This window comes from Homo sapiens, chromosome 1 (assembly GCF_000001405.40).
Source record: "Homo sapiens chromosome 1, GRCh38.p14 Primary Assembly".
NCBI lineage: Eukaryota > Metazoa > Chordata > Mammalia > Primates > Hominidae > Homo > Homo sapiens.
The window spans coordinates 83,878,019-83,903,891 of record NC_000001.11 but is presented as its reverse complement, the minus strand read 5'-3'; the positions used below and the strand labels follow the sequence as shown (position 1 = coordinate 83,903,891).

The window sequence follows — 25,873 nt, the reverse complement described above, 5'->3', positions numbered from 1 at the left end:
AAAAATCCATGCTTTCATAGAACTTACATTCTAGTTAAGATGTCTGATAATAAATAAATGCATAATAGAATGTAAGGTAGTACAGTCAGCCTTCTATGTCTGTGGGTTTCGCATCCATGGATGCAACCAACCAGGGATTGAACGTGTTTGGAAAAAAAAGGATGGCTGTGTCTGTACTGAACATATACAGACTTTTTTTCCCTTGTCATTATCCCTAAACAATACAACAGTGTAACAACTATTTACATAAAATTTACATTGTATTAGATATTATAAGTAATTATAAGTAATCTAGAGATGATTTAAAATATACAGGTGGATGTGCATAGGTTATATGCAAATATTCCACCATTTTATATCATGGACTTGAGCATCCATGGATTTTGCTATCTGGGAGTGGGGGTCCTGACGCCAGTCCTCACAGGTGGAGAGGGATGACTGTACTAAGTACTATGAAGAAAAATAAATTGAGATAAAAAAATAGAGGGAAGGTAGTATTTGAGCAGAGACTTAAATGAGAATCATGCTATACAGATATCTTCAGAGACAATGTTTCAGGCAGAGGGAAGAACAAATACAGAGATGCTGAGGTAGAAATTAGTTTGATGGGTATATGAAGCAGAGCAAGGCACCATTTTATTTATATATTTATAGGATAGTCTGTTTTAGCTGGAAAATGGTGAGTGATGGGGTCTTGGTAAGAGATAAGGTTGGACAGATAGGGAGGACCTAGGTCACAACTTTGTAGGCTATGGAAAGATACTGGGTTTTATTTCAGTTGATGAGGAACCACGGGAAATTTTGAGTAAAGAAGTTACATAGCCTGTTAGAATTTAAGAGAATCATGAGAACTACTTGTGAAGAATAGAACCGGGGGAGTGGGAATTTGGCAGAATAGAAATAGGGACCAGCTAGAAGGTTTTTAGGGTAACCGAGGCAAGAGCTAATGGGTGCTTAGCTAGGGTGGTAACTGAATGGATGGATGCTGGAGAAAGAGGGGGAGGGTTTTGCTGTTTCTGTTGTTTCATTTTATTTTTATTTTGACCATGTTGATGTTGATATATTGATTGGACATCCAAGTGAAAATGTTGAGTGTGTAGTTGTATAAGAGTTTTGAGTTTAGGGCTAAGATTGTGTATGGTGAACAAAAATTTAGGAGTCTCTAAGATATTTAAGGTGTCAACTAGATGAAACTACCTCGAGTTTCAAGGACTGAGGCCTGAGCCACTCCTACATGTAGAAATCAGAGAGATGGGGAGAATCTATCAAAGGGGACTGAGAAGGAGCAGCCAGTAAAATGTGAAAAAACCATGAGAACTGGGTGTCCTTGAAGCCAAGAAAAGAAATTATTTTAAGGACAGAGTAATCAATTGTGTCACATATTGCTGACAGAGGTTGTAAGCTGAGCACTAAGAACTGACTGTAATTTTTGGCAATGTGGATGTTAGCGATGACCCCAATCATAAATTTAGAGGGGTGGTGGGGAGTAAAACTTGGAATATGTACAAGAAGAAGAAAAGTGGAAAGCAAAACACCACAGTTACTACAGGCACTTTTTCAAGGAATTTTGCTATAGAGGGGAAAGGGAAATGTGGTGGTGGTAGATGGAGAGAAATGTGGGCCAACAAGAAGGTTTTTGTTTTTTTTTAAGATGAAGATGTTTTCAGTTTGTATGATGATGAGAATGATTTAGAAGAGAGGAATGGCCCAGGAAAGAGAGGTGTTAAAAAGTTCTTGAGTAAGTAAGCTGTGAGAGGGGGAGGGTTTTCCTAATCAAGAGCATTTATTCTAACAGGGGGGAAGGCAGGTGCATGGGAATGTGGTGGGAAGATGGGAAAGTTTTCTTCTGGTGGGGAGGGCTTCTGGAGATTTGGGGAGAGAGTATAAGGTACATAATGGTTGTCTTGGAGAGTGGAAGAGTGGAGTGGCCAGCACCATGAAGGGCCCATCAACTGCACTGTAACATTGTTTTCTGGGAGATAGACTATTTTAGTAGTGGAGTGAAGTTGTCGAATTCCTTCAGTAATACAAACTATCACTTGCCCTTTCTAGGAATTGTCATGAATAAGCTGAAACTTGATGCTGATTACATGATGACTCTTAAATTATATACTTTTATCTGAGTAAGCTGAACTCACTGTTGCACATTAACTCATTCAGCAAATATTTGCTTAGTGTCCTGCCATGTGCCACGTAGAGTACACTGTTGAGGAGGGTGTAGTAAAGCTGGTGACAGAGGCAGATTGCAAAACACATGAGAAGCCCTGAATATGTTTTCAAGTCGCTGACTTTGGCTTCGATTAATGGAAATATGGAATTTTTATTAGAATTGGAACCCTGAATTTCCTTAAGTCCATATAATTTTTGTAATCTAGAAGAGAGAGAAGTGTAGGTAAGTTGCTAATTTAAAAAAGTAGAGAGTACGATATTAATAATACAGGATAAATGTGGTATTTCAAACCAATAGAGAAAAGATGATTTTTCCACTAAGTGGTACTGAAGCAATTATCTATTTGTAAGAAAACTAAGTTGGAGCCTTAATTCTCACTATATAAAAACAAACTTCATATAATTGCAGCTTTCTATGTAAAAAAGAAAATATTAAAAATTTAAAAGAAAATACAGAAGGATAAGTTTATAATCTTAGGAAAAGATCAGCAGATTTGATTACATAAAATCTTATGAAAGGTAAAAGATATCTTAAAAGGCAGAAGTTGAGAGGGCAATTGGGTGGGGGATAGAGGAGGAGTTTGAGGAAGACAGATAAGTGTAGCACATAAAATGACAAGTAACACTAGTGAACCAATACCTTCTGCAAATCAATCAACAAAAGAAACTTGCCTATAAATGTTGACAAATAAAATGGCAAAGCATATAGAAAGACCATGAAAAGACAACTTATGGATTTCAGATAGCCATTTAACATGTAAATAGATCCTTGACCTTACTAATGAAGAGGAAAAAACAAGTAAAAAACATCATATGAGCAAAAATTAGTAAGACACATAATATCCAGTGATGGAAATAGTATGGGTAAAAGGGCCTTTGCTATGCTATTAGACAGAAAGATAGTACATTGGTACAAGTCTTTAGAAAAGTAATTTGTAGTATCTATTAAAATGACATGTTCATAATGTTATGAGTCAGCAAAACCACTTCCAGCATTCCATCCTACAGAATAATTGCCTGAACGTGTAAAAGATTTTTGTACATAAGCATTCATCACAGTGATAAGGCATCTCCATGGAAAGGGCTTGTGAAGTAATGGTGCTGTGCGTTTGTTTTGTGTTGAGGTAGGAATAAGGGAAAGAGGCAGAGAGTGTCTCTCCCTGACCCCAGGACCTTGCTTCGGCTGTCCTTGCTGACTAGAATCCCTTCTTTACAATCTCACACACCACATATTTTGAAGGTCCAGCTCCATCTCCTTCACAAAGCATCTGGAGTCCCCTACAACCAGATATCTTTCTCTACTTGAATCTTCATGGCACTTTGTATTCAGCTATCTTATGATCTCCCTTGAGAAATTTATGGATAATTTTTTCCATCCCTCTAAAAAGCCAAGAGGATGGGTCTCATTTTGTAGTTAACTGCAGGAGGCTTTCTATCAATTTTTGTTAAGTTGATTCCATTCTAGACTCTTTTAATTCTAGACTCAGTAGCAAGCTAGCTGCTTCTTTCTGTAGTCTTCTTTCCTTACTAGTTAGTGATGTTTATTTGAACAGCAATAATAAGACAGTGCTATTCTGTTTTTTACATGTGATGTGAGAAGGCCTGTTAAACATTGATGGGATGATTAAATGACATGTGTGACTAATAATATTTGTGAATTGGAAGAAACAATTTCATATGTTTTAGGGTTATTATGCTCAGTTGACTTTCTACATTTAGAGGAAAAATAAATGCTTGTTTATAAATTTACTAATGAGTACATATACCAGTATATCTACTTCTTTGATACTGATTTATTCTAAGAATATTTGGTGTGAACTATTTTTATGTAATCTCTTCTTCCAGTTCTCAGATGTACAACCACCTTTAAGTATTAATCATACACCGTTATGTGGAGGGAGTGGAAGCACTAATGTGAGGGGAGGAGCTTTATTACAATTTTTATACCCTGCTACTCTTTTTTTTTGAGCTCCTTTGCTGCTGCTTCGCTGCTTCTTCCTTTGGTATAAATCAAAAGTATTGTGTTTCCTTTGTGCTTGCGATGTATTTGTGTAACGATGTATTCAGTCTTCAGGAAAAGCTTGTTAAAGTCCCACAGTTTGCACTACCCAAACGTTTACTGTCATTCTTCTACATAGACAATTTAATAGACAATTCTATAGACAATTCTATTTTTTTCGCAGAAAAATTCATATATTGAATTTTGGCTCTTAAAAGAACAGAAAGGGCTGGTCTTAACTACAGCAAGTTTATCTTGCAAAGATGCCCAATTTTATGGAGCCCTGAAAGTCGCTGAGGAATGCTACTCCTAGGCTGTGAAAGAAGTGGAAGCCCAGGATTTAAACAGGTGCAACTTGTTTGTAGCAATTTTTCTTGCTAGTCTCATGATTATTGGGGCTCCTTTTCTTCCTTCAACAGTTTTGTTCTTTAAGAGGCCTTCCCAAAACAGTCTCAAATTTCTCAGATATATAGTGAAAGGTGAGGCACATCTGGGAAAATAAGCAGAGGACAGCTTTCAGCAGCATTCATTCTGTGATGACATTCTTCCCCTTATTCAGGTAATTTAAGACCCCTTACCCATGAGTAACTACTTTAATATAAGGAGCTTTATATTAAAACTTTACTATAAAGTTTTATAAAACTTTCCATTTTTATAAAGTTAACCCTGCCAAAATTTGTAGGTTCTTTTATCTATATTCACAAAAAGAAGCCTAACAAATATACACATCATGAATACAAATCATCAAGCCAGCCAGCAGTGCAAACCAGCCAGCAACAGAGGTATTGAACTCTAATGTAAACATATTCTCATTGGGATTTTTTAAAAAAAATTTTTTCTACTTAGTAAGTAGCATTAGAATTAATTATGTGAAATACTTAAAATTTACCCCAGACAGGAATAAGAGAAAAATATAGAGGTAATTTTGGAAGTAATCATTGGAACAAATTTAAATGTGTTTAGCTGATTTATTTATATACATATATTTAATATATAATTTTTTTCTCCACCTCTTCCCTACCTGAAGTTTATTTCTGATAAAATCAGAGGTAAAGTGATCAGACAGTGACTGACTGAATTATTTTTTTTTGCCTGACAATATAAGAGCTAATATAATAATGAGTCAAAGTGCGTTGAAAAAATGCTTTATATGGTGAAATTAGAGAGGCAAAAGCATGTAATAGAAAGAGTTACTAGACCTCTTTTCATTACATGACATTGTAGTAGACATCTCATGAGACAGTATGGACTTGAGTTCAGTATTGCCTATGGCCTTTACCTTGGACAGGTGACTTCTCAGAACTTCTTTGAGGTTTACAACATTAAGTATTGAAGGGTCCTTGTGCTTAAGTGAGACATCATAAGGGAATGTACTCTAGCCTTAGAAGGGTTGCAGGCTGAAATTTTTTCTTTTGTACTAAGGTTCCCCATGTCAGACTGTTTCTCTGATGTATTTTATTTTACTAAGAATTCTTCATATGGGGTATTCTTTTGTATAGAATATATAAAAATGATGTATAAAAATTGTCTGTTGGCCTATAACATATTGATCATTTATTTGGCTATCAGTTAGAAACTTGTGCTATTGTCTTATAAAGCTAGAAACTGCATCCAAGAAACTAAAAGAAACCTGGAAATGTAGGTCACCTGTGGAGTGCAGAATTAGATATTACAAAAATGTATCTGTTTAGAAAGCTAAGGACTTAACTAATTTACATTAGATGCATGTTAATCAGATCCATCCTTCTTTTGGCTGTGATGTCAGTCAATAATCATTGAAAGCTTTACCAGCTTAATCTTCTGGGAGGCAGACACTAAGGTGGAATTAACAGTGAAAGTTTTTTTTTTTTTTTTTTTTAATGGAAAACACCCAAGGAAGATAATGGGGAGAGAGAGCGCAAGTAGGCAGGAAGAGCCTTAGGGCTACAATGCAGGTCTGACTCCAGTGAATGCAAGGGAGGAGGACTGGGTAGGAAGAACCTCAGACTTTAGTGGATCTCTGAGAAAGTTGTGGTCAGGCTGATGGGGAGCCCAGAACAAAGACTGGCTGTTGAAGGGATCACAGTGAGCAGAAATAGCTCTTCACTCGTATCCCAGCCATGCTTCATCCTTGGCTGGGAACTATCTTGGGAGAGTGTAAGCATGGTTTGAATATTGCAGTGGATCCCCAGTGGGGAAGCCATCAGCTAACTGCATTCTTTGAAACATGTTAATTTAAGTGGCACATCTCCATGGCTGCCACAAAGGCTGTGCGTGATACATTTTAATTTAACAAACATTTATTGATTGCCAATTTTATACAAATAATATGCTAGACACTGTTAGGGATTTTGAGAGTTGTTTACTCATTCATTTATTTGCTCACTTAATCATGCATTCAACAGATATTTATTGAGGGACTACCATGCCCCAGGCACTATTCAAGGTATGGAAGCACAAGACTCTTATTTAAGTATCTTAATTCCATTTAGAGACCATTATGGAAATATATATACCACTTTTCCTGTTCCAGGATTGAGGCATTTGTGGTTATTAGCCTGTTGTAAAGCTCCAAGATTAGAATGACATACACACAGAGTCTTTCACATGCTTTCCTTTTTTCTGTTCTTGGAAATTAAAAAAAAATTATTTGCCTTCAAATTTTCCTTAATGGATGTAAAATGTAAAGATCAAGGGTATGGGAATTAAATCCTGAAAAGAACCCTCACCAGGTGAAAATGGAAATAGTTAATCTTATTTAATGTCATGTTGTGGTAACTCCATACTTGCATAATTTAGCTTTCTGCCAAGAATGCAGTTGCTTTATATAGTTTGTGAGGAATATATATGAAGTATGAAAATATAGTCATGTTGGTGGGCTGCAAAGAATGCCAGATTTGCTGAAAAGCTTATTATCTGATGTGATACCTAAACATAAACTAAGAGTGGAGGATGAAGAGAAATAACTAATGACATTAAGGTTGTACTGTATTTGCATTTATTTTAGGGTGCTAAGAGGTCCTTGTTTATCAAGTATTACTTCTCTAAATAGCAATTTATTTTTAATACCTACTGTGGCTGCTTCTGCATGCATTTTGATGATACTATTTTCCGTCTCTGTTTTATTCAGGCTGACATAGATGCTGTTCAGAGCTGTTCGTTTTGCATCAGCAAAGATGCCTTTACCCTATAGCCATCGCTGCTGCATGCATCATTAGTACAGCATGTAGTGATTTTAATGTTATTTCTAAACCGCCTTCACCTCGTGCCATTATTTTAATTTAGGACCAACTGTTCGGCCATATGGAGCAGTTTGTCATTCAACATCTGTATGCTTTTGCAAAATATGAATTTGTCTGTGTGCTTTATGCCTTCAAATGTGCTATATTTCACATGGAAAAGACAAATCTTTTCATTTTATTAATGTTGTCATTGACTGAATCTCCCATTTGTTTTTTCCCTTGGAGAGCTTAATGTTGGATTGGGATGCTTTTAAAAGTCATAATGTAAGGAAATGGATACCTATATTCTATAAATTAGCCTCACGTAAGCCCACAGATAACACAAGGGCACCTTGCTGATCATTTATTTTTGTGTTTCACGAATTATTCATCTTCCATCCAATTTCTTCAATCCCCAAAGGACCAGAAATCCAAAAAAGCATCACAGGTAGAACTAGCACTAATTTATCTCATTCCAGTCTGATTTCTTGCCTGCCTGGTCTGTGCTTTCTTAAAATTATTAAGTGAGTATTTGGCTAAAAGTACAGTCATTGTCTCCCCATCTGTATAGCCTTCTAAACAAACTATTCCTTACTCCGTGGCCATAAAGGAGGGGGTGCCTAGGCAACCTTGTTTTTACACAGTGATCCCACTCTCCTCCCAAATACCATTTGACTAGAAATGAATCTGAATCTAAGAAGAGATAATGGGGTTCTCTCTAGGCTTTTGCTGCTGGCATCTGGAAAATCTAAATTGTGAGGCAGTGCTGGATGTAGTTAAGAGCGTAGGTCTGGATACAATGAGCTGGGTAATCTTGGGCAAGTTACTTATCTGCTTTGTGCCTGAGTTTTCTCATCCATAAAATGGGGATCCAAAATGTTTTCACGACCAAAAAAATTTTCATAACCCCTAGGCAGCAAAACCTAACCTACCTGAATTCATTTGGTGACAATGACCTGACAAGAAGTTATGTATTGATTTTGTCTATCTCTTGGTTTGAATATTTACATTTTTTTCCTGCAGAATTAATAATATGTATGATTATGGAATCTAAGCTTGAGATTTTTGGAAAGGGACTGTGGACCAATAGTATCTACCTCATGTTTTTGTTTTGAGGACTAAATGAGTTAATATATGTAAAAGTGCTTAGAACAGTGCTTGGCACATGGTAAGTTCTCTCAATGATTTTTTACCTTGTCTACATAGGTGTGACTTTCTTGCAAGGAATGACTTACTAAGACAGGAACCTACTAAATGATAGACCTTGTCTTAAGCCTTGGGGACCTGGTAACTTTATTATCAAGATGGGCACAGTTTACTCCCTTTATATGCATAACAGTCTCCATTAATTAAACAGGAAATTAAAATAAAATAAGGTGCTTGCTAATAAAGGAAGAACTGGGCATTAAGATATCAAACAATAGTTCAGTGGCAGGTAAAGTTTTCCTTAGAAGTGGCATTTGAAGTGAAACATAGAAGTTTATCAGATGAAGAGATAGGAGAAGACTGTTTCAGGCAGAGGAAGGAGCTTATGTGAAGACTCAGAGGAGAGTTGAAGGATTTGGGTTCCTGTTCCCTCAGTCTGTTGTTCCATGCCCTCCAAATTATAGGGGTGGGTCTCCGAGGACCAAAGCTTGCCTTCTTGCGGAGGCTCCTTGAAAACTGAAAGCAAAGAGAAGCAAAGAGGAATGCGTGTTCCCAGTGGTTTGCTCTGGACAGGAAGGAGAATGTGCCTAGTTTGCCCAGACCATGTCAGTCTCACCAATCTGGGAAATTGCTTCTTAGGTAGAGGTGCCTGATGGGGTGCCATGATGCCTGCAGATTTTTCCATCTCCATATTGAAGAAAACATTAGGAATGGAGCAGAAGCATTCCCCATCCCTAACTCCCCGGCTCCATTCTGAAGGTGCTGCTTTTAGTCATGTATGGGCTAGAATATGGTACTGTCATGCTATTAAAATTCCCTCTAAATTAAGAAAATATATGCAGAGTAGTGGTCAAAAGAATCTCCTCTAAGTAATGTGCCTAGCACAGTGTTTTGCATAGAGCAGGCGGATGATACATGTTAGTTGCCCTTGAAGTGTATTTAAAAAGAAATGAATGAATACTCCATGGTCTCAAATCCTTTATCATTTTAAAGTTGAATAATCATTTTATAATATAATGTGAAAACTGATGAACTTAAGGTAACGTTAAAATTGCCAGTATCAATAACATTTTTCAATTTCAGTTATTTTTATATAACTCATATTTATCCTTGAGACTAATACATGGGTTATCTTGGCTACTTTTTTATTCTTTCCTTTCTGCATTATGACTTTTGGCCTATTATTACTTACTAATATATTGACAGAAAGTAGAAAGGAAAAGTGAGAAGAAAAATGATTTAAATTTATCATTTACAGTTAGTGTTGATTCTTATATCACATTAGTCATGAGCACTGCTTTCTACACTAAAAAATATAAAGAGTTAAACTAATAGCTTAAATTAAAATTGTAAAAACTAAAAGGCATGAATTAATGCCTTGATACTCATATTTCAATATTGTTGTGAAGTTTTAAGATATTCCTCTTTATAATGAAGCATTTGTTACCTGTAATGAGCCTTTTCATGAGGTTTTTCACACACTACTTTATTACAGATTGTGTTTTCCCTCCTCATCCCCTGCCCCTTCCCCTAGGACACACCCTGACCTACAGTAGGATTTGTATTACTGCCCCCATCACAGTGCAGGAAGCTGGAACAGGAAAGGAAGGAATGCTGCTGCTCACACAGTTCCCTGTGAGAAGCTGTAGTTCCTAGTCTTCTATAAATATCACCTTGAAAGCTTTTTACTAAATTTATTTTTAAACAAATGTTTAAATTTGCCTTGATCAGAGATAACAAACATCATTTCTTTAAATATTGCTGTTTTAAAGAGAAATCATTCTTTCATCTGCTTCCAATTCTTCATGTTTATGTCTGTTGAGAGAAATGTCTTTAGTCTTTATGTTTGAAAGTCTTTTTCCCTTTTCATCTTCCACTTTCATTTGTATAGGCAGTTGCCATAATTATAGAGCTAGATAAAACAAAAAGTGAAAAATCCACTTTGATGAATGGAGATCAGAATATTAGTATTTGGTGTTCATTTTTTTTTCTTTTTGTTTTTTTACAAAAGAATTTTGTTGGAAATACCTACATTGCATAAGTATCAAGTACATGTGAATTAGACAAAACAGTTTTTTGGGGTTTACAAATTTTTTAGGACCTCTAGGATTTCAGTGGTCCAGATTAATCATAGTCCTTATTTCATTATACTCTTTCATGATTGGTTTGTGCATGGCCTGCTTTTATTTAGTATTATTTAGTGTTTTTAAGTTTATTATACCACCTGTGAACCCAACACGCAAATCAAAAGCTAGGTTCTTGGAAATAACGTATATAACCAAATGATTCCCTTCCATCCCCCTGGCTCCCCATTTCCCAGGTAGTTATTATATTCTTGAACTCAGTGTTCACTAATCTCATCTCTCCTCTCCTCTCCTCTCCCCTCCCCTCCCCTCTCTTTTTTCTCTTTCTTTCTTTTATTCTTTTCTTTCTTTCTTTCTTTCTTTCTCTTTTTCTTTCTTTTTTCTTTTTCCTTCTTTCTCTTTCTCTCTTTTTGCTCTTTTCTTTATATATATTCATATATATACTCATATATGTGTTCATATATATGTTCACATATGCGTTCATATATATGTTCACATATGCGTTCATATATATGTTCACATATGCGCTCATATATATGTTCACATATGCGCTCATATATATGTGTTCACATATATATGTTCATATGTTCATATATATGTTCATATATATGTTCATATGTTCATATATATGTTCATTCATATGTTCATATATATGTTCATTCATATGTTCATATATATGTTCATATATATGTTCATTCATATGTTCATTTATATGTTCATATATATGTTCATATGTTCATATATATGTTCATTCATATGTTCATATATATGTTCATATATATGTTCATTCATATGTTCATATATATGTTCATTCATATGTTCATATATATGTTCATATATGTTCATTCATATGTTCATATATATGTTCATATATATGTTCATATATATGTTCATATATATTCGTATATATATTCATATATATTCGTATATATATTCATATATATTCGTATATATATTCATATATACATATATATTCATATATATTCGTATATATATTCATATATACATATATATTCATATATATTCGTATATATATTCATATATACATATATATTCATATATATACACATATATATTCATATATATGTGTATATATAATGTTTATGTGTATTCCCCATGTGTTTTTAAAACTTAATTGTTTTTACTTCTATTACAAGCGTATCATGGCCAGGGGTGATGACGCATGCCTGTAATCTCAGCATTTTGGGTGACCATGGTGGGCAGATCGCTTGAGCTCAGGAGTTCAAGACCAGCCTGGGCAATGTGGTGAAACCCTGTCTCTACAACAAAATATAAAAATTAGCCGGGCATGGTGGTGTGTGCCTCTTGTCCCACCTCCTCAGGAGGCTGAGATGGGAGGATAGCTTGATCCTAAGAGGTTGAGGCTACAGTAAGCCGAGATCATGCCCCTGCACTCCAGCCTGGGTGACAGAGCGAGACCTTGCCTCAAAAAAAAGGGTGGTATCATGGTATATATAGTCTCTAGTACATTTTTTACCTTACCATTTATTATGAAGATGTTCTATCTTGTGTGTTATATTTGATTCATTTTGACTACTGTATTAATACTGCACAGTAGTCCAGAGGGGGTGAGTATCCACTGTTTATTTACTGAATCTCCTGTTGTTGAAGAGTTCGATTGTTCCTAGGTGTTTACAATTGTTAACAGCTGCTATGAATGTTCTTGTACATGCTGCCTCCTATTTTTACCTATGAGAAATAATTTCAGGAATGAAACTGCTGGGCCATAGTGATATTAATTTTCAACTTTAGGAGATAATACCAAACTCCAAACTGTTTTCCCGTTTGTGCACCGATCTGTACTCACACTAGCAATGTCTTAAGAGACCCAGTAGATTCCATATCCTCTCTAGCACTTGATATTGTCAGACTTTTAATTTTTGTCAGCTACATGGATATCTTATTATAGCCTTAATTTTTGTTCTTTATGTTTATTGGGCATATTTATTTCCTTTTTTCTGAAATGCCTGTTTGTAATGTTTTGTCCTTTTTTTCTATTAAAAATTTTGGTAAACATTCTTTATATATTCCTGATACTAATGTTTTGCTGGATATATATGTTTTGAATATATTTTTGCAGTTTGTAAGTTTATCTTTTATTTTCCTTAAGGTATATTTAATGACCAGAAGTTCTTAATTTTTATATAATCAAAATCTATTAATCTTTTATGGTCCATAGCTTTTTGTGACTTAAGTAGTATTTTTCTAGCCCATGGTCCAAAAAATACTCACCTATGCTTTCCACTAAGATACAGAATAGTTTATTTTTATTAACATGTATGACCTTAACCCCTCTAGAGTTGATTCTTTTTAATTTAATGAAGGATTCAGCTTTATCTTTTCTTCATCTAATCCATAAAGATTATAATTTTGAAATCTCTACATATTGAACAGTCTCTTCTTATTCCACTGGTCTAAGTTATTGCCTCTGTCATATACTGAAGTTTCATAAATGCATGGGCCTATTTCTAGACTTTTTGTTCTATGCTATTGTTCATGTGTGTGTGTTCCTTTTTGAATTTTATTTTTATTTCTTTTACTTTTGATCATGGCTTACTGCATCCTTGACTACTTGAGCTCAAGCAGTCTTCACATCTTAGCCACCCTCCCAGGTAGCTGGGACTACAGATGTGGGCCATAATGCCAGGCTAATTTTTAAAACAGTTTTGTAGAGACAGGTTCTCACTATATTGCCCAGGCTGGTCTGGAACTCCTGAGCTCAAGCTACATCTTTGAATTTTAGACACAGATATACATTCCTAGATTGTAAGTACTTTGGTTTTTCCACTAGGTTTTGGACATAGTGAAAACAAGTATTCGTACAGTTCTTCCACGCATCTGGAAGGTGCCTGATGTTGAAGAAGTAAATTTATATCGGATTTTCAACCGGGTTTTTAATCGCTTACTCTGGAGTCGTGGCCAAGGGCTGTGGAACTGTTTCTGTGATTCAGGGTAAGCTCTAAGTCATCTTTTATTATCGTCATTTTTAATATTTTACTATTTAGTTATAGAGATATCCTAATAAAATGCTTGAATGATCTTTTAAAATATGGATTTCTTTTACTGCATGTAATGTTTAGTACTCAACTATAATTTATATCAATTAAGCTGATTTAGATAAGATGATGAATATGAACACAACACCACCTAATTAATTTGAATTCGGTGGAGAGAAGGTAGTCCTAATTAAAGAAAATACAAACCAATATCCTTGAAGTTCTTCTGCAGTCGCCTTCTAAAATTATGGCTACACTTCTCCTCCTCCCCAGAATCCTAGTGCTGCTAAAGCTGCTGTGACTCATTGTCATTTTAGCCTCAAGATATCTAAAACCAAACATTCCATGTCCTTTTATTCGGAAATGGCTTCCTTTCTTGGCTTCCCTTAATCCTATTATTATTCTCTCAGTCATACAAGTTGGATATCACAGGGGCATCTGCATCTTCCTTTTCCCTCACTGTCTTTATTCAGTCATTTGCCAAATCCTATTATTTTTCTGTCACATTCCCACATGGCTAAACTAGCTTGTTTCCATTCATACTTTCAACAATCATCAAGTACTTACTTTTGTGCTAATATTTTTGGAGGTACAGTGTTGAATCTGACACAGATAATAACTAACCATATTACTTATTGTGTGAGATGCATTGTTCTAATCACTTTACATGTGTTAAGTGATTTAATCCTCATAACATCAATTTGAGTCAGGTTTTATATTATCTCTATTTTATAGATAAGGAAACTGAGGCACAGATAGGTGCTAAGGACCTAGTGGAACTGGGATTTGAACTCATTTAGCCTTGACTCCAGAGTTTATGCTCTTAACCTATAAACTCTGATGTCTCTAGCAGATAAAGTATGATATATACAAAGCAAATCATTTGATATGGTTTCTCTGTGTCCCCACCCAAACCTCATCTTGAATTGTAGTTCCCATAATCCCCACGTGTCATGGGAGGGACCTGGTGGGAGGTAATTGAATCATGGGGATGGTTACCCCCATGCTGCTGTTCTCTTGATAGTGAGTGAATTCTTATGGGATCTGTTGATTTTATAAGGGGCTTTTCCCCCTTTTACTTGGCACTTCTCCTTGCTGCCGCCATGTGAAGAAGGACATGTTTGCTTCCCCTTCTGCCATGATTGTAAGTTTCTTGAGGCTTCCCCAGCCATGCTGAACTATGAGTCAATTAAACCTCTTTCCTTTGTAAATTACCCAGTCTTGGGTATGTCTTTTTTAGCAGTGCGAGAATGGACTAATACATCATTATAAAAGAGATACAGATAAAGTATGACAGGATTTTAGACAAAGAGAGCCTTTTTTTGGTAAGACAGCTAAGTGAAATGAATAGATTTCTAGGCATTTTTGTTTCCAGTTTTTTGTTTCTCATATCCTTCTTACTGTCAGAATCATTTCCTAAAATCTGTAGTGATTTTCCTCCTTTATAATTTAAGTTTAAACTTCTTATCTACAGATACAAGGCTATCTAATATGCTGTTTTCTTCTTATTTCCCCAGTCTTCCTTCTCATTACTCTCCTACTTGAATTGTGCTCCAGAAAAAACTCATTGTTTTTCAGATCTCTTAAAAATTTGTCGTTTTCTTCCTCTGAACTGTTGATGTCATTTAATATCTGATTAGATGGCTTTCTGCCACCCCAAACTTCTGTACCCTCTGTATTATTTGAATCTAATGTAAAGCCCCATACTATACCTACCTCTTCTGTAAAACCTTAACAGACTGTTCTATTCTGAAATGATCTCAGAATATTCTCCATTTAAATATTCTAGCCATGTGATACAGAATCATTCATATCATTTGGAGACTCAGTCTTTTTACCATTTTTTTTTAGCTGCCATTAACCAACAGGGAGAATTAATAAGGCGCTCTGGGTGTGTTGAAATCTGAGAATAATTTGGGCTATTATTTCTACAGAGACCTAAGTGAAACATTTGAACTCCACAGCCCCTTAGTTGATGGCTCCCTGTAAAAGTTCTCCCAATCTGAATTTATAATGGAAATGTTTTTTTTCTGTTGGTTGATCCATTGGCTTGATGCTATATATGAATCCCAGATACTCTCTACCATGGAGAGCAATGAGAAAATCTGTTAGTGAAATCAATGCTGTGGCTCTGAGTCCATAGATAATCTCCAACACCAGACCCTAAAGATACCCATGAAGTGGTGCTTCCTTGCTTCTAGGGTTCCTCTTTCCTGAACTATTTTGCTAACATACTTTAACTTGATTCAGAATCCTTTTCTCCTATCCTTGGCACAATACTGCCTGCCAGTTTCTCTGGTGGTATCTATTAGTACTAGTAATCATAGGGATAGTAAGTAGTATTTATTGAAGGTTTACTAAATGTCTGACATTGTTTTACATATTAAATATTTGTATAATCTCCACAAAAAGTATTTTGAGTAAATTATTACCGTCATTTACAGATGAGGAATTGAAGCATAAACAGAGTATATAATTTACTCAATTTCCCATAGTAACTGTATGAGCCTGTATTTAAATCCAGGTAATCTGAGTCAGAAGCCCAAGCTCTTAACTCTTTGCTTCATTGACATTCCCCAAAGCAGATTTGCCAATGGTTGCCAAGCTTGTTTTACTGCAAGTCCATAGCATTAGCCAAATCCCTAGCCTACTATGCCTGTGCAGGTGAGGCAGGAGTAGTTTTGAGACCGATTTGACTCCAATCTCATCTACTTCTTTCAATTTAGTAGTTTAAAGAGGTGAGTTTAATATCGGATTTTATTTTGCATTAATGAGTTTTTTAGGCTTCCTCAATTTAGTGAAGTCACATAGTACTGTGTGTGTTTGATTCTCAGTTTGGACCCAGAATAGTTCTTCTTTATCCTTTGAATCATGCCTTCTCAATGTATACTCCTTTAACCTTTGGTCCGAAGGCCTAATGGTCATGGTGAAAATCTACTCTTCTCAGTTTTTAAGGAATGATTTTAATATAAGGTTCAACTTTCTTTCACAGTTACGTGTAAAATCTTAGAAAAATATAATCCAAGTGTTTGATTATATCCAAGAATCCAAGGCCTTGATTCTTGCCTTTGCCTGTCAACATTCCCAATAATAAAACAAAGTAAGTAAACCATCCCCTGTCTACCTCCAGAAACACCAGAGTAATGTAGATCTTTGTGGTAGGTTTCCCTAGAGTTGGCCAAGGGGTTTTGCTGATGTATCAAACAGAAAACACCCTTGTTCCTCTCTTTTCCTCTACCAGTCTGCTGATGCCCATGCCCAGTAACAGTTTTATCACATGCAGCCTCCTGGGAATGTTATGATGCCCACATTTGGAATATGTTTACTTTAGGGAAATAGCTCTTGGAATTTCCATAAATAAAATTATCTACCATGTTTTACTGGGATAGAGGAAGTCTGAGGTTCTATGGGACTCAAACTTAGGCCTGAGAGCTGGAGAATGGTGGCTATGGGAAGTGGCATTTCAGGTGAGAGTTAAAGGAAGAATAGGAGTTTGTGAGGTAAAGCCAAGAGAGGAGCCAGGGTCATATGGGAGAAGGAATGCATGGTTTGGGAAAGCCCCATCTCCACTCAAAATCCAATATGTAAACCCTAAAGAAGAGAATCTGGCCTGGATTCCCCAGCCAAAGTATTTTCCTGTTGGGGTTTGTCATGTAAAAGCTTTTCTTTTAGAATCTTAGGGCAAGAAGAAATTTTAAGGAATATTCTAAGGCGTAGTCTATTTCTAGGCTGGATTATGCCTACTTGAAAAGGTATGCATAATATATAGACTACTTAAAATGATGTGAATCTCCCTGTTTTCATATCACTTTCAATTGGATGTGTTGTTATACTTTTTAGGTCATTAATCTTTCTGTTGGTGATTACTGTGTTGGTATGTATAAACTTCAGCAGCCTGGAAGAGGAAAAGAGAAGGACAAGGGTGTTTTCTGTTTGATGCATCCAGTAAAACCCCTGGGCCAATTCTAGGGACCCCTACCACAACTTTTCCTTTCTCCTTTCTGCTACTTAACTTTGGGCTACTCAGTCAGGACTTGTACCAGTAGAGAAAGGAATGAATCAGTTTCACTCTTTAGATAACTGCTTTATGAAATGTTTTGATGAGAAAGTGGGTGAAAATTATTGGATTACTGGATAATGTGAGGATTTCTAAGTCTCTGGATTTCATGAATAACTCTCCTTTGTTGCCAGAGATATTCAGTATTCTGTCTTAATGTGATATTACTTAAAAAAGTCATTTAAAGTGTTTTCCTTTTATATTGCTGTGAGGATTAGGGAGAGCCAGAAAGAACTTTTTAATCATTTAATTTTTCCTTTTGAATTCATGGATTTTGGTGACCCTATTTCCTTGGAATTTAGGTTCAAAAAGCAGGTAGATGAGACCTGGGGTTCTTTGATAAAAGCACTGGTATTTTAACTATTTTTACCTCCCTTCACCTTTTAAAAAAACTTTGTGTTGCTAGTGTTGAAAGTTGAAATACTGTAGTATTATAGAGGCATTTCACAACTACTCAGCTATGCCAGGTGGCAGGTAGGAGTAGGGGATACAGTTCTGTACTCAGTTTTCCTTTGTGTAGAGGGGGCACCCACTGCCCTAGGGCCAGATGAAGCAGGTTGCTTTCATTTTCTTGAGTATTTTGGTATGCTGACACCTAAATATGGATTAATATATAGAGTAGAATTTACTCTTGGCTAGTAGTGGTAAATATACACACCAGAACTAAATATGTATAGGACCTTGATTCATATATTTATTTTAAATATTTAAGGGAGAATGAGAGAGTGAGAAGCCAAAGCTGGCCATATTATAACTCACATATTATTCAAGAAGTTACATCAGATTAGAGTGTTACAGAAGAAGCCCTTTTAACTTTCTTCCATTTTATTTGTTCTTTCCCTACCTCTAAAGAAAAATTACCATAATATGAGTGATCTGATAGTTGATCTGATCAAATAGCTCCAGAGTATGAAGAAATAAATATATCCAAGTTAAGAGTAGAGGGTGGTGATGGAGGTAGACTTTTATAGACATACCCAAAATCCCAGCAGAAAGAAAAGTGCCAGGCAGACAGTCAAAACACAGGATTTTTTTTGTATATATTCACATGTATATGAAATTTTATAGGGTCTGCTAAATCAAAGTATACTAATTATAAACATATTCCCTAATTAATTTTTCCAGCTTTTTAAAATCAAATTAGGTAAGTAGATTTATATCTCTATCTACATCTATAAATCTTGATAAACACGTATGTGTCATATCTAGTTTTTCTTCCATTTAGCAATAATTTAAATTTTGTTTTTACAGTTAATTTAACCGTCGAATTACTGTTTCTTAAATAAAAATAATTTTCATTCCTTTGCCAATTAAAAAACCCCAGTATTTTATTTTATTTTATTATTATTATACTTTAAGTTTTAGGGTACATGTGCACAATGTGCAGGTTAGTTACACATGTATACATGTGCCATGCTGGTGTGCTGCACCCATTAACTCGTCATTTAGCATTAGGTATATCTCCCAATGCTATCCCTCCCCCCTCCCCCCACCCCACAACAGTCCCCAGAGTGCGATGTTCCCCTTCCTGTGTCCATGTGTTCTCATTGTTCAATTCCCACCTATGAGTGAGAACATGCAGTGTTTGGAAAAAACACCAGTATTTTAAAAGCCTATTATATTTAGTCCTGAACATTTCAGAACACTGAAGAAAATTTGTTTCTTTCAATTAACTCATTTCAGTCTTACTCCCTTTAAGAAAACCTGTCATTCATTGATGGCATGCTGTCTATTTGGGGCCACATTTCTCTGAAAAAATAAACAGTAGCTTTTCTAGAAAAAATACATTTCTATTTCTAAGGCATTTTTTTAAGAATTCAAAATATATCAAATATCCACAGAAGGTTGAAAGTGGAGTCTTTGTGTTTCCCATTGGTAAGTTTACTTCCAGGAAAATATTGTCCTGAATACTTTTTCCTGTGCTTTTCTCTCTGAGGGTTATGTGAATTGGTTTATGCAAAATGAGATGTGAATCATTACCAAGTCTCAAACCAAAATTTCCCCTGGAGGCTTGAAGAGTTTCAAGGAATAAGTCTGAGGAATAAATCTCTCTCTCTCTCTCCCTCTCTCTCTCTCTCTCTCCCTCCCTCCCTACTGGTGGAGTAGTGAGGTGTTTCCTGATATAAACCATGATGCCATGATGGTAAACTTAGGAATTGTTAACACACACACACATACACACACACCCCCCACACAAAATTGAAGTTTACCAAGGAAGTATGCACCATTACCTGCTTTGGAATAAGCTGAGTTCAATGAAGGAGAAGGCATACTGCTTCTGGGATTGCAGTAGGGTAGTACTTGTTAAGATAGCATTACTTCTAGCACACAGAACCTGTGCTCTAGGAATATCATGGATATAGTTATGTCTGAAAGTGTTTTGAAAGGGATGGTCACAATAAGGTATTAACCTAAATTCTCCTAGTGAAGAGAGGTCAACAATTGTTTCAGCAACTTTTTAGTCATTTCAAGGGATCATTCATTCTTAAGGTAAATACAGATTCCGAGAAAGCCTAAATTCCAAGAATACTTAATTTTTGAGAAATTAGCTCAGTATTTTACAAATACCTTAATATAGAGTAACTCCATTTTTTAAGAGGTGTTGGAAGACTATCCTATTAGCCATCCAAAGTTGGCAGCTTTAAAAGCTTTAAGGACTAATAGTGCTGGGCATGGTGGCACATGCCTGTAGTCCCAGCTACTTCAAGGCTAAAATGAGGGAGGATCACTTGAGGCCAGGAGTTCGAGGCTGTAGTGCATCATGATTGTGCCTGTGAATAGCCACTGTACTCCAGTCTGGGCAACATAGTGAGACACACTCTCTCTCTCACATACAAACACACACCCACATGCACAAACACACACACGGACAAATAGTATATGTATTTGATGTTGTATTTCTTTAATATAAAGATTAATTTCCTGATTTGTATTTATTATATATCTTTAAACCATTCATAGTTATTGCAAATGTATGAGACCATTTCTATTTCCCTTATTGGTTTGTTGCTAGGGAAGTGATATATAGCTGGTTGTCATTTTTAACAGCCAACATGAGATCATGTCTGTTTCCATGCCAACAGATCCTCTTGGGAGAGTATATTCAATAAAAGCCCGGAGGTGGTGACTCCTTTGCAGCTCCAGTGTTGCCAGCGCCTAGTGGAGCTTTGTAAACAGTGCCTGCTAGTGGTTTACAAATATGCAACTGACAAAAGAGGATCACTTTCAGGCATTGGTCCTGACTGGGGTAATTCCAGGTACTTGTTCACATTCTCTAACCCTTGAGAGTTTTATGTAAAGTAATGCTAAAACACAGTTTGAAATTGACAGTGTTTTTTTGTTTATGTGACTAGAGAAAAAGCTAAAGACTGAAAGTTCATACATGCTATTATCTGCAAAATATTTTTAATTAGTACAGTATTTACCTTTAAGGGACTGAACAAGGACAGCAATCACGAACCTAAAGGTGATAAAACATACTTGGAAATGAAGTTATTTGACTTATATACCTTCACTTTCAAAAGTCCAGAGCAAGAGCATCCAAAAATGTGGTAATATATTTAACTTCTGTTCTCCAATAGAGATATTTCAACATTTACCCTTGAGCCTACTATACAGTTGGGAAGATACCTTTGGTTTCATTTTTATTGTTCAATTTGCCTCTGCTATTCCTTTCATTACCAAATATGTAGGAGGTAAAGTTTTGTCAAGTTCTATTTGAAAAATGAGTTTCATAAATATCCAGTTAAAATAGTTTTCCAAAAAGCATGAAAAGCAATATTGTTTTTAAGCTGCAGAAACACAGAGTAAAGAAAGTACCTTTTAGCATTTCTCAAGACAACTGTAGTTCTCATTAGAAATAGAGATGAATAATATAACTTTAGTTTTAGTATTTTTTTTTTGACAGAAAGTGAGATTACAGGTAATTATATTTTTATTGTTTTATTTAATTATTATTATTATTATTTTTATTTTATTATTATTATACTTTAAGTTTTAGGGTAAATGTGCACAATGTGCAGGTTAGTTACATATGTATACATGTGCCATGCTGGTGTGTTGCACCCATTAACTCGTCATTTACCATTAGGTGTATCTCCTAATGCTATCCCTCCCCCCTCCCCCCACCCCACAACAGTTCCCAGAGTGTGATGTTCCCCTTCCTGTGTCCATGTGTTCTCATTGTTCATTTCCCACCTATGAGTGAGAATATGCGGTGTTTGGTTTTTTGTTCTTGTGATAGTTTACTGAGAATGATGATTTCCAATTTCATCCATGTCCCTACAAAGGACATGAACTCATCCTTTTTTATGGCTGCATAGTATTCCATGGTGTATATGTGCCACATTTTCTTAATCCAGTCTATCATTGTTGGACATTTGGGTTGGTTCCAAGTCTTTGCTATTGTGAATAGTGCCGCAATAAACATACGTGTGCATGTGTCTTTATAGCAGCATGATTTATAGTCCTTTGGGTATATACCCAGTAATGGGATGGCTGGGTCAAATGGTATTTCTAGGTCTAGATCCCTGAGGAATCGCCACACTGACTTCCACAATGGTTGAACTAGTTTACAGTCCCACCAACAGTGTAAAAGTGTTCCTATTTCTCCACATCCTCTCCAGCACCTGTTATTTCCTGACTTTTTACTGATGGCCATTCTAACTGGTGTGAGATGGTATCTCATTGTGGTTTTGATTTGTATTTCTCTGATGGCCAGTGATGGTGAGCATTTTTTCATGTGTTTTTTGGCTGCATAAATGTCTTCTTTTGAGAAGTGTCTGTTCATGTCCTTTGCCCACTTTTTGATGGGGTTGTTTTTTTCTTGTAAATTTGTTTGAGTTCATTGTAGATTCTGGATATTAGCCCTTTGTCAGATGAGTAGGTTGCGAAAATTTTCTCCCATTTTGTAGGTTGCCTGTTCACTCTGATGGTAGTTTCTTTTGCTCTGCAGAAGCTCTTTAGTTTAATTAGATTCCATTTGTCAATTTTGGCTTTTTTTGCCATTGCTTTTGGTGTTTTAGACATGAAGTCCTTGCCCATGCCTATGTCCTGAATGGTATTGCCTAGGTTTTCTTCTAGGGTTTTTATGGTTTTAGGTCTAACATTTAAGTCTTTAATCCATCTTGAATTAATTTTTGTATAAGGTGTAAGGAAGGGATCCAGTTTCAGCTTTCTACATATGGCTAGCCAGTTTTCCCAGCACCATTTATTAAATAGGGAATCCTTTCCCCATTGCTTATTTTTCTCAGGTTTCTCAAAGATCGGATAGTTGTAGATATGCGGCATTATTTCTGAGGGCTCTGTTCTGTTCCATTGATCTATATCTCTGTTTTGGTACCAGTACCATGCTGTTTTGGTTACTGTAGCCTTGTAGTATAGTTTGAAGTCAGGTAGCGTGATGCCTCCAGCTTTGTTCTTTTGGCTTAGGATTGACTTGGCGATGCGGGCTCTTTTTGGTTCCATATGAACTTTAAAGTAGTTTTTTCCAATTCTGTGAGGAAAGTCATTGGTAGCTTGATGCGGATGGCATTGAATCTAAGTTTTAATATTTGTAAGTTGTAGTACTATTCAGGATAGAAGAAATTAAGCCATGACTTTGAAACACTAAGTGATACTCAAAAAGTCAGTGAATAGTTGAATAAACAATGAGGAAAATGGAACCACGATAGCTCGGATTTTCTTTTGTTAAAAACACCTAGAAATTGATCTGTTTGTTTAAAAAACTTGGGGAGTATAATAAAATGAACTTTATTACAAATGTGTCCTGTAACAGCAGAATGGCTCAGAATATTTTTAATAGAAAGTATTAAGAGAAATATTTTAAATTTTTGTTTGTCTTAGATTCTGTCATTGTAGTGTTGCATGACATTTATGTCATTGCATTGCAAGACATTTAACCTCTTTTAACTCTTCTACAAATAGAAGCTGGTTGATCACAATAATAGCAGTGGTAAAGGTAACCATTAATATTTAAAATATTTAAATATCAAAGTTATATTCTACAGTTTTAATGGTTTCACTGAAGCAAATTATTGAAATAAAACTTTTAATACTTTCATTAATACTTTTATATGATTTAAAAGAATGATAGCCATTTTTTGGACATCATACCATATAAATGAAGAGCCTTCTTGTTAAGGGGTGATACTCTGGGAGCATGGTCAGGAAAATCTTAAATTTCAATCTAAGAAGTAATTCACTGAGACTCTTTAATGTCATTCCCACAATTCTAGATTTCATAAACTAATTTCTGTTGATGGATCTTGTAGCTTTTGTGGGTACACAAAGTAGGACGAGTCTTCTTGGTTACGTTGGAGGAAAAAGGTATGTTTTACAGTTGCTTCAGACTTTTTTATTTTCTTCTGCTGGTGGTCAAAAGAGATTTCCGACCACGGAATCTTGACTTCTGGACTTCTGATAAATGGTCAGGATGGCCCAGTATTGTGATTATAATCATTTTGAGATGTCAGTAAATACATTTTCATTCCTGCCCAAGCTCAGAACCATTTGATAGAGAAATACTAGAGTCAGACATATGGTCATCATCTGTTACTTTGTTACTCTATAGTGCTATTGCTGATAAAAGTTACATTAGGGGACATGGTGTAGCTGTGAGCCAAGTGAGTTTTCTAATACTGAATTATGGAATTCAACTTATCCATCCAGTCAAAGGCAGATCAGAATCAACACAAACCTTCCATGTCACTAGCCCATAAAGTCTTCTTTTAGCATTGGCAGGTGAGCAAGAAAAGATGCATCCTCACTGCAGAAAGGCAGAGCCAGAAAGACAGAGGCTGAGCCAAGCATGCCTGTTTCCTTCTTTTAAATCCTCAAATCAGATAATTTGGTTCTGGTAAGAGGCCAGGAAGTTCACAGTAGTGGAAATTCTTCTACATTGGAACACAAGGAGTGAAGAGAAGTAAACATTTCTCCCTAATATCTAGCTATTAAAACTCAAGTCAATGTCACATTAATTTAACAATATGTAAAAAGTGGCCATATTTCTTTTCCTCATAGGTAAGAAACGGACTCTTTAGCATTTTACTTAAATGTAGAAGTCACTTAATATTTATTAATAGATTGACACATTTTATTTATGAAGTATACTTGGTAATATAAACATGAATATATATTTATAGCATTTATAAATAAATGTAAATGTACCTGATAGAAATAACTTATGAAGTATACCTAAATAATTTATGAGGTGATTCATATTTGGTTAATTTATTTATAAAATTAAAACAGATAGAAAATAGAGCTAACAGCAGACAGGTTTGGGGACCAGGTTTATCTTTACCAAAGATCTACAGGATATTTCTTAAGAGGATTTAAAGAGTATATGGCATCTATCACATGGAAGAGAGTGGCCTTCAACTTTGCACTCTCAGAAAAAAATAATAATATGCATACCAAAGGAAAAGACATTTTTGGGTTTCTACCTTTCATGTACTGAGCTTTCATATAAGCTCATTTCACAAGGGGTTCCATAGCTAAAAAACATTTTAAAAACCACCAAGTTAGCACTTCTGCTTTTGGTAATAGAACATTAAATATTTGGATAAATCCTGCCTCTGATGATAACTAGAAAAGCTGTACAAAATATCACATTTACTCGAAAGTACTTGCTAACCCAGTACCTGTTAGTGAGTATTTGTTAGTGCTGAGCAGTGCTTTTGACAGTTGTGTGGGCCTAGGGGATAAAATAGGAGTTCAGGGCCTGCCAAAGATGCTGGCTGTTGTCAACACTCTAGATTCCTAGGAGTAACAGTGCTCGGGATGGTTTGCAAAGCAAAAGTTGACAGAAACAAAAAGGAAATAAATTTACAACCATAGAGGAAGATTTAATAATCATTTCTCAGAAAAAACTCAGTAAAGATATAAATTTTTTAACAACAAAATTAACAGACTTAACTGTCATATATAGAAGTAAATGTATTAACTTTAGAATTCAGTACACCAGGCACGATGGGAAATTTTAGAAAATCAACCATATAGTGGAATAAAAAAAAAAACAAACCCAAATTTCACAGAATTTCAGAAGATTGAAATTATACAGAGAACTTTTTCTGACCAAATGCCTTTAAGCTGGAAAACAATAGAAAAATATAGTCAAAAAGTATACTTTTAAATAATCCACGAATCAAATAAGAGATTATAATGGACATAAGAAAAGATTTTGAACTAAGTGATAACAA

The 25,873-nt window shown here is 35.5% G+C and overlaps 1 protein-coding gene across 5 annotated transcripts in view; it reads left to right on the top strand.

Annotated features, from left to right (window-relative positions):
• The window catches only part of TTLL7 (tubulin tyrosine ligase like 7), a 134,109-nt gene that overhangs the window by 95,241 nt on the left and 12,995 nt on the right, over positions 1-25,873 (top strand). For 4 of the 5 annotated variants that reach the window (NM_001350215.2, NM_024686.6, NM_001350214.2 and 1 more), the window contains 2 exons: positions 13,411-13,571; positions 20,756-20,929. In NM_001350215.2, coding sequence (NP_001337144.1) covers positions 13,411-13,571; positions 20,756-20,929 — 335 coding nt within the window. Of the gene's footprint in view, positions 1-13,410; positions 13,572-16,607; positions 16,711-20,755; positions 20,930-25,873 lie in introns of those variants that run through there. The other variant, XM_047430680.1, reaches the window with a different exon arrangement.